General features: G+C 39.0%; 1 protein-coding gene across 8 annotated transcripts in view; it reads right to left on the bottom strand.

Moving 5' to 3' along the window:
- ARHGAP24 (Rho GTPase activating protein 24) overlaps window positions 1-17,186 on the bottom strand; it is a 527,517-nt gene that overhangs the window by 64,456 nt on the left and 445,875 nt on the right. For 7 of the 8 annotated variants that reach the window (NM_001025616.3, XM_024454238.2, XM_047416235.1 and 4 more), the window contains one exon: window positions 14,441-14,563. In NM_001025616.3, coding sequence (NP_001020787.2) covers window positions 14,441-14,563 — 123 coding nt within the window. Of the gene's footprint in view, window positions 1-7,168; window positions 8,196-14,440; window positions 14,564-17,186 lie in introns of those variants that run through there. The other variant, NM_031305.3, reaches the window with a different exon arrangement.

Below are 17,186 nucleotides of genomic sequence, written 5' to 3'. Positions count from 1 at the left end.
CATTGGTGTGTCATAAAGCATCACCGAGGATGTGACTTTTCACTAGACTGAGAACGTAAATCACACAGGTGAATTTATTATACTGGTAGGTGGCTGTTTCCAGTGGCGCACACAAGAGAGAAACCACCACAGCCTTCAGGGTTTGTAAGGGTCCCCCTTTACATGTGATTTATAGAGCCAATAGCTAGAGGCTGCCTATGAAGTGAGTGACTGTGATGCTATAGATACATTCATATTTCATTCTTCTTGAAAATAAATAAGCAAAGATGAATCTAAACCTTCTTAGACTCTGTGCCCTGTAACTACATATTCTCTTTGCTCCTCAATTCCCAGTGAAGTATGTGACTCTGTCTCCTTTTCATCATTTTCCATCCACTTGCTAACTTTTGCAATTTGATATTTGACCCAGTTAAAACAATAAAATGGCTTTTTTCTACAGTCACCAATAACTTCCTAGTTGGTAAATCATTGACAGCCAAATTTGTTCTTTGTATTACTTCATGTCTCACTCCCTTTAAAACTGTCAGTCTCCTTCTTCTTCCTGACACGTCCCATGTTACATGATTTTTGCCTCTCAATGCCCTTGTCAGTCTCTTTCTTGACTATGCTAACTACTACACTCTTTAATAGTTGTCTGGGTTCTGTCCTCAGCTCCGTTTTTACTTTACCTGATACAGTTACTCTACTAGACTCCACTTAATTTCACTACATATTAATTATTCTCAGGTTTGTATCTCAATTTGGGCTATTGCTATAATCTCCAGCATTGGATTTCTAGGTGCCCAGTAGAACCTTCAATATGGATAGCTCAATATTTTCAAACTCAAAATTTCTAAAGCTGAATAAGTCATCTCTTTTTTAAAACCTGTTCTGTGTCTTTTAATCCTAATTTTGGTTATCAGTACAAGCTATCCCCCCAAAACATTGAAGTGCCATCTGAGAATCAACCTACATTCCTCTTCCTTCAAGCTATTCATGTAATCACCATGCTGGTCACCTCCAAGCTCCTTACCACTGCATTAGATTAGATATTCAGTATTTCTTCCATGAGTTTTTGAAGAGCAGAGCTCCCAATCCAGCCAAGTGCTGCCATGGTGGACTTTGTAATATTTCAATCGGATCATGCCGCTCTTCTGCTTTACCTCTTCCAATGGTGCCCACTGGCTTGTCTTTGCAACCACATTCCTTTTTATAAAATAAAATCCCCACAAGCTGATCTCAGCCTCTTCATCTTCCATTCAGTCAACAATGTTTAGGTGGCATCCATTGTGTGCCAGGCACTGTGGCATCTCCACTCTCATTTCTTCTGCTTCCTCACAAACAATATGCTCTCAAACTATGCTGAACTATGTATTGCTTGTCATGTCTTCATGCCTCCTTCTAGAAGGTAGGTCCTGCCTTTGTAAGTCAGTGTAGGAAACCTTATCCTGTAAGAGTCAACTCATACATCTTCTGTGAAGTCTTTACTGACATTCCATTGCCTCATCCCCTACTCTAGACCCAAAGCTTGATATGTTTCTTTATTCCTTAACATTTTGCATGGAAATTATTTATTTAGATGCCTAACCTGTGCTGGACTAGTCAAAAGAGGATTTTATTTTTACATTTATTATAATGAAATAATTGTTTTACATTTATTATTATTATAATAAATATTAGAAAGCAGCTACATACTATATATCTATCCTATGAGCTTCGGAGAGGTTTAGGCAAGGTGCCACAGACACAAGGACCACACTGGGATGGGTCCCAGGTATAAAGGACTCCAAAGCTTTAATTCTATTTTACCACAGTCAAGGCCTTTTGTTTATGTCCCTGGAACTTATCAAGATGGGTGACGCACAGATGCTCCATAAACATTTATGGAATAAATGCATGCATGGAAATAAAACACTTTACCTCCCCAATTATAGAAAATAAATGAATAATTCCAATGTCAAATGAAACTCATTGATAGTTCGTGGGTCGTGCCATTAATTTTGAGTTCCTTATCCCTTCTTGTCTGCAGATCACATACTCAGCCATAGTGGGAATTTGCCTTGACTTATCCTCTGCTTACTGCAACTCTGCTAGCAGGATAAATCCTGGTATCACCAGGATGGTAAGAATTTTCCATTAAAATGAACATTCACCCATAGCAAATGGGCAAATCAAAGTAAAATACATCCATTTTAGTACAGAACTAAGAAACAAAGCAAGGCAAAGCTTATTTCACTCTATCACAAACTTTTTAAGTAGCCACAAAATATTATATAGATAGAAATCCTTTACTCCAAGGAGCTCAGGGTCTATCGTAACCAGTGAATGTTGATAGAATCTTTACTCTTTTCAAAGTCAGAGGGGGGAAGGAAGGAGAATAATAAATGCTAGGAAGGATTAAGAAAGTGTTACAAGGTGTACATAGCGACCCAGTGGACTAGGTCTTTGACCATTGGAGCAATTATACACACTAGGTTCCAAGTCAGGCAAGTTGCATGTATTTCTTTATTTGGCATTCACAGACATCCTACAAGGGGGTCCCTTTTCTACAAACAGGGAAACAGATTTGAAGATGGCAGGTGACCTGTCTGAGGTCACACATCTAGAAAGTGGCAGATTTGGGATACAAACACAGCTCCATATGATTCTAAAAGTCTTTCATTTTTCACTATGTTATGTTAATTGAATTCAAACATAATTTTTTCCAAGGCATTCTCACTATTGTCTTAGTATCACATGGGAGAAAATGTCTTTTTGTAACTTTCAAAGACCAAACCCGATTTCCTTTAGTTTATGTGAATCACTGGGTTTCCACAGGAGCCTGTGGTCAGCCTTTTGTTCAGGGGCACCTACAACTTAATAGATAATTTGGTGTGGTGCTTATCACAAAGTACTTATTTATGTTTCGTTATTCCAAGGAGTCTGTGAATTCATAGATTTGAGACAACCTGTTTGTTTACCTTCTCATTCCCAGCACCACTTGGTAGAGGCTCCATAAAACATTGATATATGAATTAATGAGCTAGTCACTTATACGCAGTTTAAAATTATATAGATTTGGATAGTGGTGTTTTGTTGGGCAAATCCATTTTCATAAATGTGATTACAACATATATAACATACAACAAATTTTAAAGAGGATGTTGGTCTTGTCCACCACCACTGTAAAGACATTCTATTGCCTATGGATTCTGGGAATAGATAGTAACACTGTACCTCACCAGTTTGTAATCGATCTTGAATCCCTGATTGAATAGACCTATTGCCATTCTCCACTTTGGGAATGAATATGTGTGTGTGTGTGTATGTGCACGCATATGTGCATGTGTGTATACTACAAACGCGTATAAAGCACCTCAAGGTGGCTATTAGGATACAGTGGCCAAGAATCAGCATATGTAAAATGTAAGAGCTGTCGGCTGGGCGAGGTGGCTTGCGCCTATAATCCCAGCACTTTGGGAGGCCGAGGTGGGAGGATTACTTGAGGTCAGGAGTTTGAGACGAGCCTGGCCAACGTGATGAAACCCCATCTCTACTAAAAATACAAAAATTAGCTGGGTGTGGTGGCGGGCACCTGTAATCCCAGCTACTCAGGAGGCTGAGCTAGGAGAATCACTTGAACCCGGGAGGCGGAGGTTGCAGTGAACCAAGATTTCACCACCGCACTCCAGCCTCGATGACAGAATGAGATCATTTCAAAACAAACAAACAAATAAATAAATAAAAATAAAACATAAGAGCTATAGAGTTAGGAGCATATAATTGGTAAACAGAGAAAGCTTGCTGAAGAAATTAGAGTCAGTGATGCCTTGAAGAGAGCATAAAGTTGAGATAGACAATGGAGAAGAAAGCATCATAGCAGAGGAAACAAAGTGAAGAGACATGAAGAAGTGGTGTAGGACATGTGTTTAGGAGAAAGGATGAAATAGTCTGGGGAATTAGGGGGCTTATACTCCAGGGAATTGTTAGAATTTGTTAGAGGGCCTTTATAGTTACTTGAAATAGGACTTCCTCCTGTGAGCAATAGGGGATCATAAAAATCTTTGAGCTGTGGAAAGTTGCTTGACAGCACTGTTTTAGAAATACAGATAGGGAAATGCTTCACAAGATGGCTTGTGTGTTGTAGGAATTTGTGAAGAGTGCTGGGGGTGCACAGAGGTGAGGATGAATGCTGTCTTGAAAAGCCACTACTTAGGTTAAAGTAAGTTGCATACATGGAGCAATAAAGGCACAAAGAGCTAAGGTGATGGAAATGGAAATGGAGCTGGAAAGACATAAAGAAGAAGCAATGGTGAATGATCACTAAGTGGCTGCTGTGTAGGAAAAGCCACTGAGGACCTGATGATAACTTATCTCCAAGAAAGGAGTAGTTCACGAAAAAATCAAGATAGAGGTGGACTTTAAAAATCTAATTTAGCATCCTGGGATCACAACAATCAAGGAATCTAGCCTCTTACGACTAGACCCAAGTGCTCAGACCACAGTGTTATGCATTCCCAGGTAATCAAGGGATCGGTTACACTGCTAATAGTCATATTATAGAGGTAAAGAAAAATTGTAGTTTCAAAATCAACAGGGTAAAAAATTCACTTATAATCTTTATCTCAACGGAACATAAACTCAAAGCACCACAATCCCGAGCTTCCTGCCTAATAGATGTTTCTTGGTTCCTGGATTTTTCAAACCACTGGGAAATCATTTTCAGTGACCTTAATTAGTATCCAAACAAAGAATGAGAGTTGAAAGGGCAGCAAAGGACAGAAGAGGTCTGGAAGAGAAAGGTGCTCTGAGAGGTGAGTTTCAGCTTGCACAACATGCAAGCTCTAATGTAACCAGGCCTCTGGAAACTTTTACTCAACTCCACACTTTATCCTGACAGCATTTCTAAAACCGCTAGAAATGCAGCATGTCTCCTCTGCTGTTGGCCTACTTTTGACAACAGTAAAAAAATATATATATTTTACATGTGGATCAGGAAAAGTAGCCACGTCAACATTTTTTTACCTCTAGGCATTTTTCCTGGCTTCACACATTCTCCTTATTGCATTCCTTAAAATGACTTAAGCTGATGTTCTCGGACAGGCTTGGGAGAGGAACGCAGAAACCCAGGCCACTTCTTGAAACACTTAAGTACCCAGGAGATTAAATAAAGCACAAAAGAACACACTCTTCTTAAGTTGGCATGGTTTTAGGAACCCAGAATTGAGAGGCGAGTTCATTCTTTTCAAGGCCAGACCTTCAAGAAAGATGTAAAGCTCCTGTGCGTCATGCTGCTGCTGCCCTGAGTGATGACTGCAGCAAGAGCAAGGTGGCGGCGGGTTGGGGCTGCAGCAGCTGAGCGCTCGTGCTCCCAGGACCCCACTGCAGAACTGTGGGCACGCAGCACTTCAACAGAGAGAGCCTGGGATGCAGCGGGCTCCAGAGAATGGAAAGGAAGCGTAAAACCGCTGAACGCTTCCTGCACCTCCTCTCCTTTCTCCTTTCGACAGAATACAGCTTTGTAAATAAAAAAAACTCTTCATCCTGGTTCAAATGCTGGACATTCCCCAAACTACTAAGGCTTTGAAGAGAAAAGGACAGCCTTTAAAAATAGCCCCCCGGGAGAGGATAGATGGAAGCTGTGCCCTACCCAGTGTTGGCCATTTGCCAGTCCATGGGAATGTTCTTCCCAGGCACTGCCTTCCCCGCTTAGTATTTAAGGAGAAAGGGAGGAAGGCATCGGGAACAGCAGTGTGTTCACAAGGATTCTATGGGAGACGGGAAGGTGACAAAGGCCAAAAAAAAAAAAAAAAAAAAGTCCTTTAAAGATACATTAATAATCCTCCAGACATCTCATGTTACAAATGGACAGCAGTAACCCTGAAAAGTCGTGTTTGCATAGAACCAATTTAGTTTCTGATGGGCTGGGGAACTAGAAGGGGAAACTATCCTTTAAGCAATTTGTCCCTGAGCCTTTAAAAATTTCTGTCATTGTTAATTTCTCTACCAATGATGCAATCCTATGGTATTCAGAAAATCCCTATAGATCTATAAAAATATGAGACATGCATCTCTCATTTAATTATCTTTGTGGATGAGATAGGAATGTAAATTAACACCTGAAATCCTTGCTGATAATATATGATGGTGATTGTTGCCAGGTCTTAGCTACGCAAAGGAAAGCACTCTGCAGGAACAATGGTTTCCTTAAAAAAAAAGTTCCCACTGTATTTTGTAATTTTGATTTTTCTTATTTTTTTTTGTTAGTTACTAACTAGGGAAGATTAATTAATGGGTGGCAAATCAAAAAAAAGATGTGGGGGAGAAAAAACAACCCTAGATGTCATTCAACTCAGCACCTGACTAAATTATTAGCTTACTGCACATGTCATTAACATTATAATTACTTAGTTTCTACTTAAACAGCCATTCCATTTAATTATTCTTATTTTAAAGCAAAAAGATATTTATAAATATTTTGATCCATAAACTTTTCCTGAAAACATTTTAGTTTACCTATTTTGTATTCTCTAACTCCCCCCAAATAAGTCAATTCAGAAATGTCTTAGTTTCTTTTACTGATCATAAGTTGTTCTATGTTCTCACCCCTGTTCCTGATAGTTCTATCTTTGCCCTCTCCCAGTGCCACCTTGTGATATATTTGAAATGTCAGGGTGACTCCTATTCCCAGCAAATATTCATCAATATGGTTGAAAGCCTCTTGAAAATGGGTCAGCACGAATAATTCGATTATCAAATTTTTCTCAACAGGGGAGGTGAGGCAAGCACAGGCAGCCAGAATCAAAACAAGGTGACGGGAACACAGCACAGGGATTTGCGAGGGCCCTGTTTTGAGGGGTCAGAACATGGCTGCTTGATTTGGGTCTAGGAAGGGCCCAAGATCACTCTGGCCCCTCCTCTGAGGACGGTCAGCCCAGCTTACTTAGTCCCCTGTCAGTCAAGGTGATCCCCATAGGATCACTATTCTTTAAGCCCCACCTACCCCACCTATTCACAGACAATAATATACACATTTAAATGAACCTCAGAAAATAAGTATAGACAAGCAAGGATACGCACAAATCACTCTTGTACAGTCCTAAGCTCTTGGTTTCCAAACTCCCATTTTATCTGAGCATAAACAGACCTTAAAGCCTAAGATAATATTATTTATATTTATAAAAAGGACATGAACATATTATCTACCTACCTTTCCGAAAACTAAAACACCGTTTGATTCTTCTGTATGTAGTTTTAGGGATGAAAGGAGTTGAGGCTAAGGCACCAGCCGGGCACCCCCCAGAATTCCGGTCTTCAGGCATCGTACAGGCCTGAAGTTCTGAACCCGGTTTTGGCTTCCTTTAAAACCTGCCTCTGAGCGAAACCCAACAGCCACTCCTCATGCTTGTTTACTTGTTATTTTTGAAGTGCTGATCCCTAGAATTTGAAGGTTTTGATCATCCAGGTCCTGGCTTAGGGATAAGTTACCACCTCTCATTTACTCCTGTTTAGCAAAAAAAAACTTCCTTTTCTCTTGCCTAATCCAGGGAGTTTTTAAGGTTTTTTTTTTCTTTTTTTTAAGTTTCTGCAGACATTCCAAAATGTCACAGGAAAAGAACTGCAGCAAGCAAGCTACCATTCCCATTCAAACAGCAGGAATTGGTTTTTGCATTTTTTTGTTTTTATTAAGAACTGTCTTCTCAGCTGGACTGAGATTCCTCTGGAAAGGTCAGCAAATAGCTCTGTGCAAGAGGAAAGAGGAACAATGACAAAAAGTCCCCTGAGGAATATTTCAGGACTGTCCTTGCTGGCTCCTTTCATCTGAGCAAGAGGGGAGGAAAATAATGGCACCTTCTCCAGAAAGCATTTCAGTGCATGATAGATTTCTTTCAAAGGACCCCCCTGCTTCTTTTATAGCACCCCCCATCCTTTGATGCTCTCTGCAGGTTTCTCCCCTTTCCTTTCTGTCTTCAAACTCCCGAGAGAATCACAACGTCAGAACAGTCGAGTGCCCATTCCAAGAGGCTCTTTGGATCTGTGGGGGGAGGCAGCTTTGCAGGGAGCATCTCCTCCCCCTCCTCCTGCTCCGTCTCCCCTTTTCTCAATGAGAACTGGGAGGGAGCTGGCAGGGCTGCGGTTGCTCCTCACCAAGGCTGTGGCTGCGGCTGCTTCCAGTGCCCGCCGGTCACATTCAGCAGGTGCAGTCACAACAGGATGAGGGGAGGAGGGAGAATGCCACGCTACGGTACAAACTCCTTTCTTTTTCTTTTGACTTTGTGTTGACTTCCCAGCTCTTGTCTTGTGTAGCACTTTTACAGCTGGCTGGCTCAGCCCCTCCAGAAATCACAGGGCACCAAACCAACCCCCAGGGGGTAAACTTTTTGCCCCTTCATACCTGCATTTATTCCCCTCCCATACAAGTTTTACTTTCTTTCAAATGATTTGTAATTGAATTCATTTGTGAGCACTGATTTAACATGCATACCCTGAAAACATATTTATACATGTGTATGTGTGTGTCTGTAAAACAGAAAAATGTTTAAAATCCAGTGGCAAAGAGTCTGTGGGTAAAGCTGCAAACACATCAACACATATTTGTATGTGTATTTACACACACATATATGTTTCTCTAGGCATGGTTTGCAAACCAATTCTGTTTTCAACATTCTTCCATGCTCTTGCCCGTACTTTCTGCACCCCAGCCCCCATGTCCACTAAGTCTCTCAGTCCTACTCACTGAACAATTTACTTGCTGGGTTAATCATTCATCCACCTGGTTGTTCCATGAACTGATTTGGAATGCTAGTGCCTTAACCCCAACTGACCCCCAAGGCCTCTGTGTTCCTTCCCAGCCATTTGGCAGAAGCTTTACAAGACCATGAGGAGTATTAAAAAGGTCTTTCCATTAAAAACATCATTACTCTGACTAGCATGCCCATGTAGGTAATCTTTTGTCATTGAAAGGATTATTATTATTTAGTTCTGCCCTGTGGTTCAAATGGTATTTTACCTTCTGTGTCACAGCACGCTGCTAAGAAAATAAAGAACCACAAAGTGTAACTCAGCACCACGAAGACAGAGACAGTGCTGCCCTTCAAGCACTTCAGCCAATAGAAAAATCCACTGACCTGAACACTGATCTACAGGGAACTCCTGTAATCACAGGATTTTCACAGGAAGTGAAAGCATTTTTTTCTTCTAATTTTCTTATTTCACAAGTGAGTAAAACCAAAGGCAAGGGAAGTAAAACTACATATCCAAGATTGTGCACTTGGTCTGTGCACGTTGCCTGACCACGTTGCCTCTTAATTAACCTCTGTCTGCCTGCATACCAATTACTCATTGTAAGGATTATTCACAAATAGTATTCTTACTGCCTTGCTGGGTCTCTGAATCAACTCTTTTCATTAGGAGGCAGAAATATACAGGAAAGACCTGATTTTGGCAGTAGCTAACATTAGGCTAAGCAATCAGAGCTACAAGAACTATTGGGCTGGGCACAATGGCTCACACCTATAATCCCAGCACTTTGGGAGGCTGAGGCGGGTGGATCACCTGAGGTCAGGAGTTTGAGACCAGCCTGGCCAACATGGTGAAACCCCATCTCTACTAAAAATACAAAAAAAATTTAGGTGGATGTGGTGGCAGGCGACTGTAATATCAGCTACTGGGGAGGCTGAGGCAGGAGAATCACTGGAACCAGGGAGGCAGAGGTTGCAGTGAGCCGAGAATGCGCCATTGCACTCCAGCCTGGACAACAGAAGGAGACTCCGTCTCCAAAACAAAACAAAACAAAACAAAAAAACTATTAATGAATTTTCACTCTCCTCAGATCTCAGATTCCGGACTAGACACTTCCATAAATATTGCCTCAAAAACAATTGAACAGAAACCCAGTATAAAAATACACAAGGAAGGACGGGAGGAAAGGAGGGAAGGAGGAGGGAGGAAGGAAGAAAGGAAAGGAGAGTGCGAGGGAGGGATGGAGGAAGGGAGGTTGGGAGGGAGGAAGAAGGGAAGGAAGGAAGGAAGGAAGGAAAACGAAACCTTCCCAAAGCTAAATAAATGTTTGACATTCAGATTTTTGAATTTGACTTTTATGCAGAAACCATGTGCCTCTCAATTAGCATTATTACTAGAGGAGCAACTGTGCATGGGTTTTCAGCAGGTAGCACAAAGTTGAGCTATGTAGATTCAACACTTTTCACGTTTCCCTTGGTTCCCTGCCCCATATGAGTATTTTATAAATTCATTTTCATTTGAAGGAAAGGCCTATCATTCCAAAACCCTACATTTTATTTACATTTCCACCTAACAGTTTTTAATTTCTAGGAGACTGAAGAACTAGACAAGCTCCTCAGGTGTCTCCTATATTTTAATCTAATGTCTATTATTGTAATGGCAAAGAGGGAATATTTTGCATATATGTGCAACCTGAATAAAGATAAGCTTCAGTGCCTCATGAAAAACTTTAGCTTTTTAAAAACACAGGTTAAAAAATTGCCACAATGAAATGCCCTCTTTGTAACAGATACATTTAAAACATATCCAAAGGTGGTATACTGTGATTGATAAATCAGAGTGATATGTCACCTCCTCTTCTAAATTTCCTTACAGATACCATCTAATCAAGTGCTTTTCATTTAGTATTAACAGGGCCTGGGTTTCATAACTAAGATAGGAAGGGAAAGTGCATTCTCTTATGAAGGGTGATTATGACAATTCAGAATTTTTTAAACAGCTTTATTGAGATATAATTCCCATACCATAGAATCCCCCAGTTTAAAATGTACAATTCAATGGTTTTTAGTATATTCACAGATACTTGCAACCATTACCACAGTTAATTCTAGAACATTTTCATTTTAAAAATAAACCCTGTATCTTTTGGCTATCTCTCCATCACCCCCTCATCCCCCCATCCCAGCTCTAAGCAACCACGAATCTATTTTCTGTCTCTGTACATTTCCCTGTTCTATACTTTCATATGAATGGAATCATAAAATGTGCTCTTTTGTGGTTGGCTTCTTTCACTTAGCATAATGTTTTCAAGCTTCATTCGTGGTGTTATATGTATCAGTACTTCATTCCTTTTTATGGCTTAATAATAATCCATTCTATGGATACTTCACATTCTGTTTATTCATTCATCTGTTGATGGACATTTGGGTTGTTTCAGATTTTTTTTTCTAATTGCTCGATGGTATCAATTCTAGTACTTTTGAATGACTCATAAAACTATATTAATTCTAATTATTGTATGTTTAAAAACTTTTATTATTTTTCATATACTGAAGAATATACGATCAATAAGGCATGGACTTATAATTGTGGGTTCTTTACTACCACAGTAGAAGTAATAGATCACACTATTTTGCTATAAAGCAGGAGGAACACATGGGTTTTCTTCTTACTTCTGCTTCTCACAGTGTGACACTTGGCAAGTTTTTCATCCTCCTTGGGTCTTAAAGACTTAATCCACAAAATGTGAGGTTGAACTAAAACAGTGGTTTTAAAATATTGCAAATCGGCAGAAAAGTTAATTTCAATGAAATGTTAAGTGGAAACGTAATACACAGTGTAACATAAGTAAAAGGGTTTTTGGGTCATATAACTTTATTGTTTAAAACTAAAATTTATAAGATTTATTTAAAATTCAATCAATAACAGAATTTATTAATATTAATAGGAACATTTGAAATCTTAGATTAATATATCATCTGAAACCCAAGATTATGGCTGACAGTTGGGATCTCTTATCAGTATTAACATTCTATTTTGTTTTGTGTGCTCTATTAACTTTAGCAAACTCTGATATTCAGAGAAATCACAAAGGATTTCTTACAAATTAAATGAATACTTTAAAAGCTTGCCTTGCAGTCTCATAATACTTATTAAACAAAGAGGGCAGGAGAAGATTTATTCTTTGAAGCATTGTTTCTATTATGAGTGCTATATGCTAAAATACATCTCTTTAAATGTAAATTCAAATCAAGCATTTGTAAAATCCCTGAAGTAGGTCTCATATAATAAAGTTTATAGACCAATCAACTATTTGAGTGTCCCTTCCAGGTTCATGAATTTGAAGATTCACATATACAGCTCACCCAGTCCCACTGGAATTATTTCTGAGATTTCTGGGTTGATGTGACTGCCCGTGGCCATTTATTTGGATAAATTAACTGGATGGCATTCTTTTTTTTTTTCAGGAAGTCACAGATGGAAGAGGAGAAAGGGGAGAAAATAACTAACACTTGATATAAATAATCCCTCAACAAAAATATATTCTTCAGTAGATATTAAAGATTCTTCTGAACTCAGGAATTCCAGAAATCTGATTATAAAGGGGAGAAGAGTGTCTTTAGAGACAATGGGAGCTTTGAAAAGATTCATCCTCAGGCTCCCCACAAACCCTTTACCCTGGAGGTGCTAGCAAACATTACCAGATGAGTATGTGTCTCTCATGTACAGTAGCCACTCATCCATAGGGGATAAAAGTCCCCACTGGACACCGGAAATCTCAGATATTACTGAACCCTTTATATACTATATTTTTCGTATACATACATAACTATGATAAAGTAAATTTATGAATTAGGCACAGTAAAAGATTAACAACAATAACAATATTCTAATAAAATAGAACAATTATAGCAATATATATACTGTAATAAAAGTTATGTGAACATGGTCTCTCTTTCAAGATATTTCATTGTACTGTAGCTCTTGGTAACCTTAGCATACAACTTTTTTTTTCTTAAATCAGGAATTTTTTACCTTTTCACGTAAGTGAAACATTTTATGACTTCTCTTTGGCATATCCAAATTGCCAGCATCACTACTCTTGCCCTTTGGGGCAATTATTAAGTAAAACAAGGCTTTCTTGAGCACAAGCACTGTGATACTTTGACAGTCTATCTGATCACCAAGATGGCTACTAATGGGCAGCGGGTAGTGTGTGCAGCGTAAATGTACTGGACAATTGGACGATTCACATCCTGGGAATGACAGCATGAGATTTCATTATGCTACAAAAAACAACGTGCAACTTAAATCTTGTGAATCGTTTATATTTAGAATTTTCCATTTAATATTTTCAGACTGCAGTTGACCAGTGGCAACTGAAACCATGGATAAAGGGGGACTCCTTACTGCATAACTATGAGGAATCCTCTGCTAAGGTACTGGAGTGGGGATTCAGCTGGTGTTTTCAAATATTTTACATAGTCACTTGCTAGCCATTCTGGGTTATGAATAAGGTAACCGTATGTGTTGTCATCCAAACTAGAACACCGTGGGAATGAAAGGTAGCACAAACAGTAATTAGCCTGGGACAAAAGTTGTAAACCTCTCTTACTAAGGAAACTGGAATGAATGGTCATCCTGGTTAGGAACCTTCCCTTTCCTTAACAGAAGATATTATTAAAACATAGATATATTACAAACATGTGCCATTAATCTAGTAAAATATCATGTTTTCAATGAATCTTTACTATTTTAACTTCAACTTACCAACTTTTAAAACTAAGCTTTTGAAGTTATTCTAAAATATAAAATGGTCAGTCAGCCTAAGAAGTGTCCGATCTGTTCAGAGAAAAAAAAAAAAATCACTATCTCAATTCAGGGTGTTGACAATATACAAAAGAATGGAAAATAAATATAAGGATTGTAATTGTTTATAAAGTGTGAATTTGACCTAACACAATTTATTTTAAACTATATCACCATATAAAAATTAGGCATTATGTTCTTGGAAATATATTGTGGTTGTAGATAAATAATTTTGTGCTTTTATTTTTTTGGTCCATTTGCTCATTTTCGTTGAATACTTTTTCTGTTTATATGATTCTATTTTCTGTTTCTTGGCATACCTAGATCACATCTTTTATCTTTTCTTCCTTTGTTCAGTTCTATGCATAGCACCTTTTTAGCTCGTTCTTGACATGGTGCATTCTCAACACTGTGTTAACTAAAACCTTTTAAAAACTTACTTTCAAATTTACCAACACTTAACTGATCTGAAGGATGTTTTTACTCCAATAATCATCAGATTATTATCAAAAGTTTTGGCATTCCTCTTTGATACAATTGAGCATTTGGGGGCTGGGATATCTTCCAGAACCACTAGTCATAAATTTCTTACTTCATATCTAGATGTTCTTAACTAATCTACTTTTACAGTATGAGTCCCATAACAGTGTATTGTCGGTAATATGGGAAAATCCAAAACTAAAAAAAAAACCCACCCATTTTTATCATTCAACATATTCACAGAAGAAGGTTCGTTATAATTATACATGATCTAAATTAAACTTGTAGGATTTACGAAGACATACGTCTAACAATAATGTTGAACAATTTACAATTTATTTTAACATTCACCCACTTGAATACAGGAGCTAATAGTAACATTCGCTGGGGGAAAGGGATGAACAGGTTTGGTCTACCTTTCTGTTTTTCCATGATTTTAAAGTACACTCACCTCCTCCGAAAGGTCCCCATATGACTCGGCGGATTGACTTCACCCAGTCTTCCATATCATTCTGGGTGCTTGCCATGAGGAGGTAGCTTTCATGATTTGCTGTCATCCGATCTCGATCGCCTCCTGTGAAAACACAGTAACAATGCAGCTGAAGTTGCATCCAGAGATTCCTCATGATCAGCCTCCAGAAGAACCCCTGAAACAGAGACTGTGCCTAATACAGCCCGCACTAAGTTCTACCCAATGATGAAATATTTACCATGGTTTCTGAGTGGAAAGAAAAATTTTAAAAAGGAGAGACTGTTATGCTTTCAGGAGAAAGCTGGAGAACAAATGTCATTTTCTAAACAAAGCCTGGGTTTTTTGTCCTAGCAACAACCCACAGGCCTGCATCAATTCGTAATCCAATCTATTCACGCGAAGCTGCTGAATAGGGAGAAACAGCAAAAACAAAATGAAAGACAGAGAAGGTGGAAAAGTGGTCCACAGAGTTTGGCCTTTCATTTGAAGCAAGCGTGGAACAGTCTGAGAACTGCATAGTGCACACACACAGAGGTCACCAGGACATCGTGATTGGATATGGGAGTTACAGGAAAGAGTAAAGAGCCACATGCAATGCCTTTGACCCAGAGGTTCTTCTCTATGCCTCTGTTCTGGAAGAGGAACCTCATCCCCCGAGATCACAACTTCAGGAGGGCAAACAAAGAGGAGGTAGGAAAGAAGAAGACATGCCTGGACAGCCACGAAGGCCAGATCAACACCCCCAATGGCTCTCGCACCTAAGGGTGAGCTTGAGGAAACCCCCGCAGTGCCTCTGTGCAAAATCTTGATGGTTTCTCTAGTATTTTTCCCCAAAGAACAATTCATGAACTTTAAAACCTTTATAATCTCTAATATCAACTTTGAAGTGCTAGACTTCCAAAGCATGTAATTTAATTTCTTAGAAGTCTTTTATAGCGCATTTAAGTTTCCCCAGTGAGTTAATTTTCCCACTTACAAAACAGGGATAACCATATTTGACCTTGAAACAGGTCTTGAGGCATGGTTTCGTTATACCTTTTATGTTTAAAGGAGTATTTCTGAAGACAAGTATCAGAGCCTGCACCCCTTCACTGTCTTTGAAAATAGTGTTGCTCACAGAAGGAATAATTAAAGAAATAGAATAGTATTTAACTGGATCCTGATAATATGTTAATATTATACTAACTTCTAAGGTACTCAAATATCTATCAACATTTAATTTTCATGCAGTGTTGTATACTTGATCCCTTGGGTTGAATTAATTCATATCTGAGTGTTGTGTTTGGTTAAGATGTTGTTTGTTTGTTTGTAAGTGGATCTAAATACTTTTATAAGGAGTTTACAGGCTCCAGTTTACAACAGGCACCACACCCACTATTATTTCACACTCAATCTGGTCCACACATAGTTCTGAAAGTTACAGGCATTAAAGTTTAGTGACCTCTGAATTCTATATGAATGCTCTAGGTTGAGAAGGACAACTATTCTAGCATTGATATAAATTTTTGGAACAGGTGATAAGTCAGAGAAGCGCAATAACTATAAGCCAACCAGTTGAACAACTAGTATTGGTGCATTACATTTTAATACAACTAAATGGGAACAGAGGAAGGGCTCAAAAAAACTATATCAAATAGGTTTCCATATGTTGACAAATCTTTTGAATAAATAAAACTAGCCTCCTTATATTACAGCAAACATCTCACTACTAGGGAAACAGTGATTCTTTTACATGTCTAGTTCCACTCTAGGTTGATCATCAGTGATCCCCAACCTTTTTGGTACCAGGGACCCAGTTTTGTGGAAGACATTGTTTCCACAAATGGGGTGGTGGGGGGGGATGGTTTCGGAATGGAACTGTTCCACCTTAGATCATCAGGCGTTAGTTCAACTATCATAAGGAGCGGGCAGCCTAGATCCCTCTCAGGTGCAGTTCACAACAGGGTTTGCTCCTGTGAGAATCTAATGCTGCCACTGATCTGACAGGAGGAGGAGCTCAGGCAGTAATGCTCACTTGCCCCTGGCTCACCTCCTACTGTGGGGCCCAGGGGTTGGGGTCCCCTGCTTTAAACAACTCGTATCTGAAAAAGCATAGATTTCGAAGTCAAAGAAAACCCAGCTAGAATCACAGTTTTATCTTATACTAGCTGTTTGACTTCCAGGGAGTTATTTAACTTCTGGAAACTCAGTGATCTTTTTTTTTAAAAAAACTTTTATTTTAAGTTCAGGGATACATGTTCAGGTTTGTTATACAGATAAACTTGTGTCATGGGGATTTGTTGTACAGATTATTTCATCACCCAGGTACTAAGCCTAGTACTCATTATTTTTCCTGATTTTCTCCCTCCTTCCACCTTCCACCCTTTGATAGGCCCCAGTCAGTGCATGTTGTTCCCCTCTATGTGCCTATGTGTTCTCACTATTTAGCTCCCACTTATAAGTGAGATCATGCAGTATTTGGTTTTCTGTTCCTGTGGTAGTTTGCTAAGGATAATGGCCTCCAGCTCCATTCATGTCCCTGCAAAGAACATGATCTTGTTCTTTTTTTAAATGGCTACATAGTGTTCCGTGGTGTACGTGTAACACATTTTCTTTATCCAGTCTGTCATTTGATGGGCATTTGGTTTGATTCCATGTCTTCACTATTGTGAATAATGTTGAAATGCACATATGTGTGCATGTATCTTTATAATAGAATGACTTATATTCCTTTGGGTATATACCC

This window comes from Homo sapiens, chromosome 4, assembly GCF_000001405.40.
Source record: "Homo sapiens chromosome 4, GRCh38.p14 Primary Assembly".
NCBI lineage: Eukaryota > Metazoa > Chordata > Mammalia > Primates > Hominidae > Homo > Homo sapiens.
The sequence above is the reverse complement of the archived record's forward strand: the minus strand, read 5'-3'. Positions and strand labels throughout refer to the sequence as shown.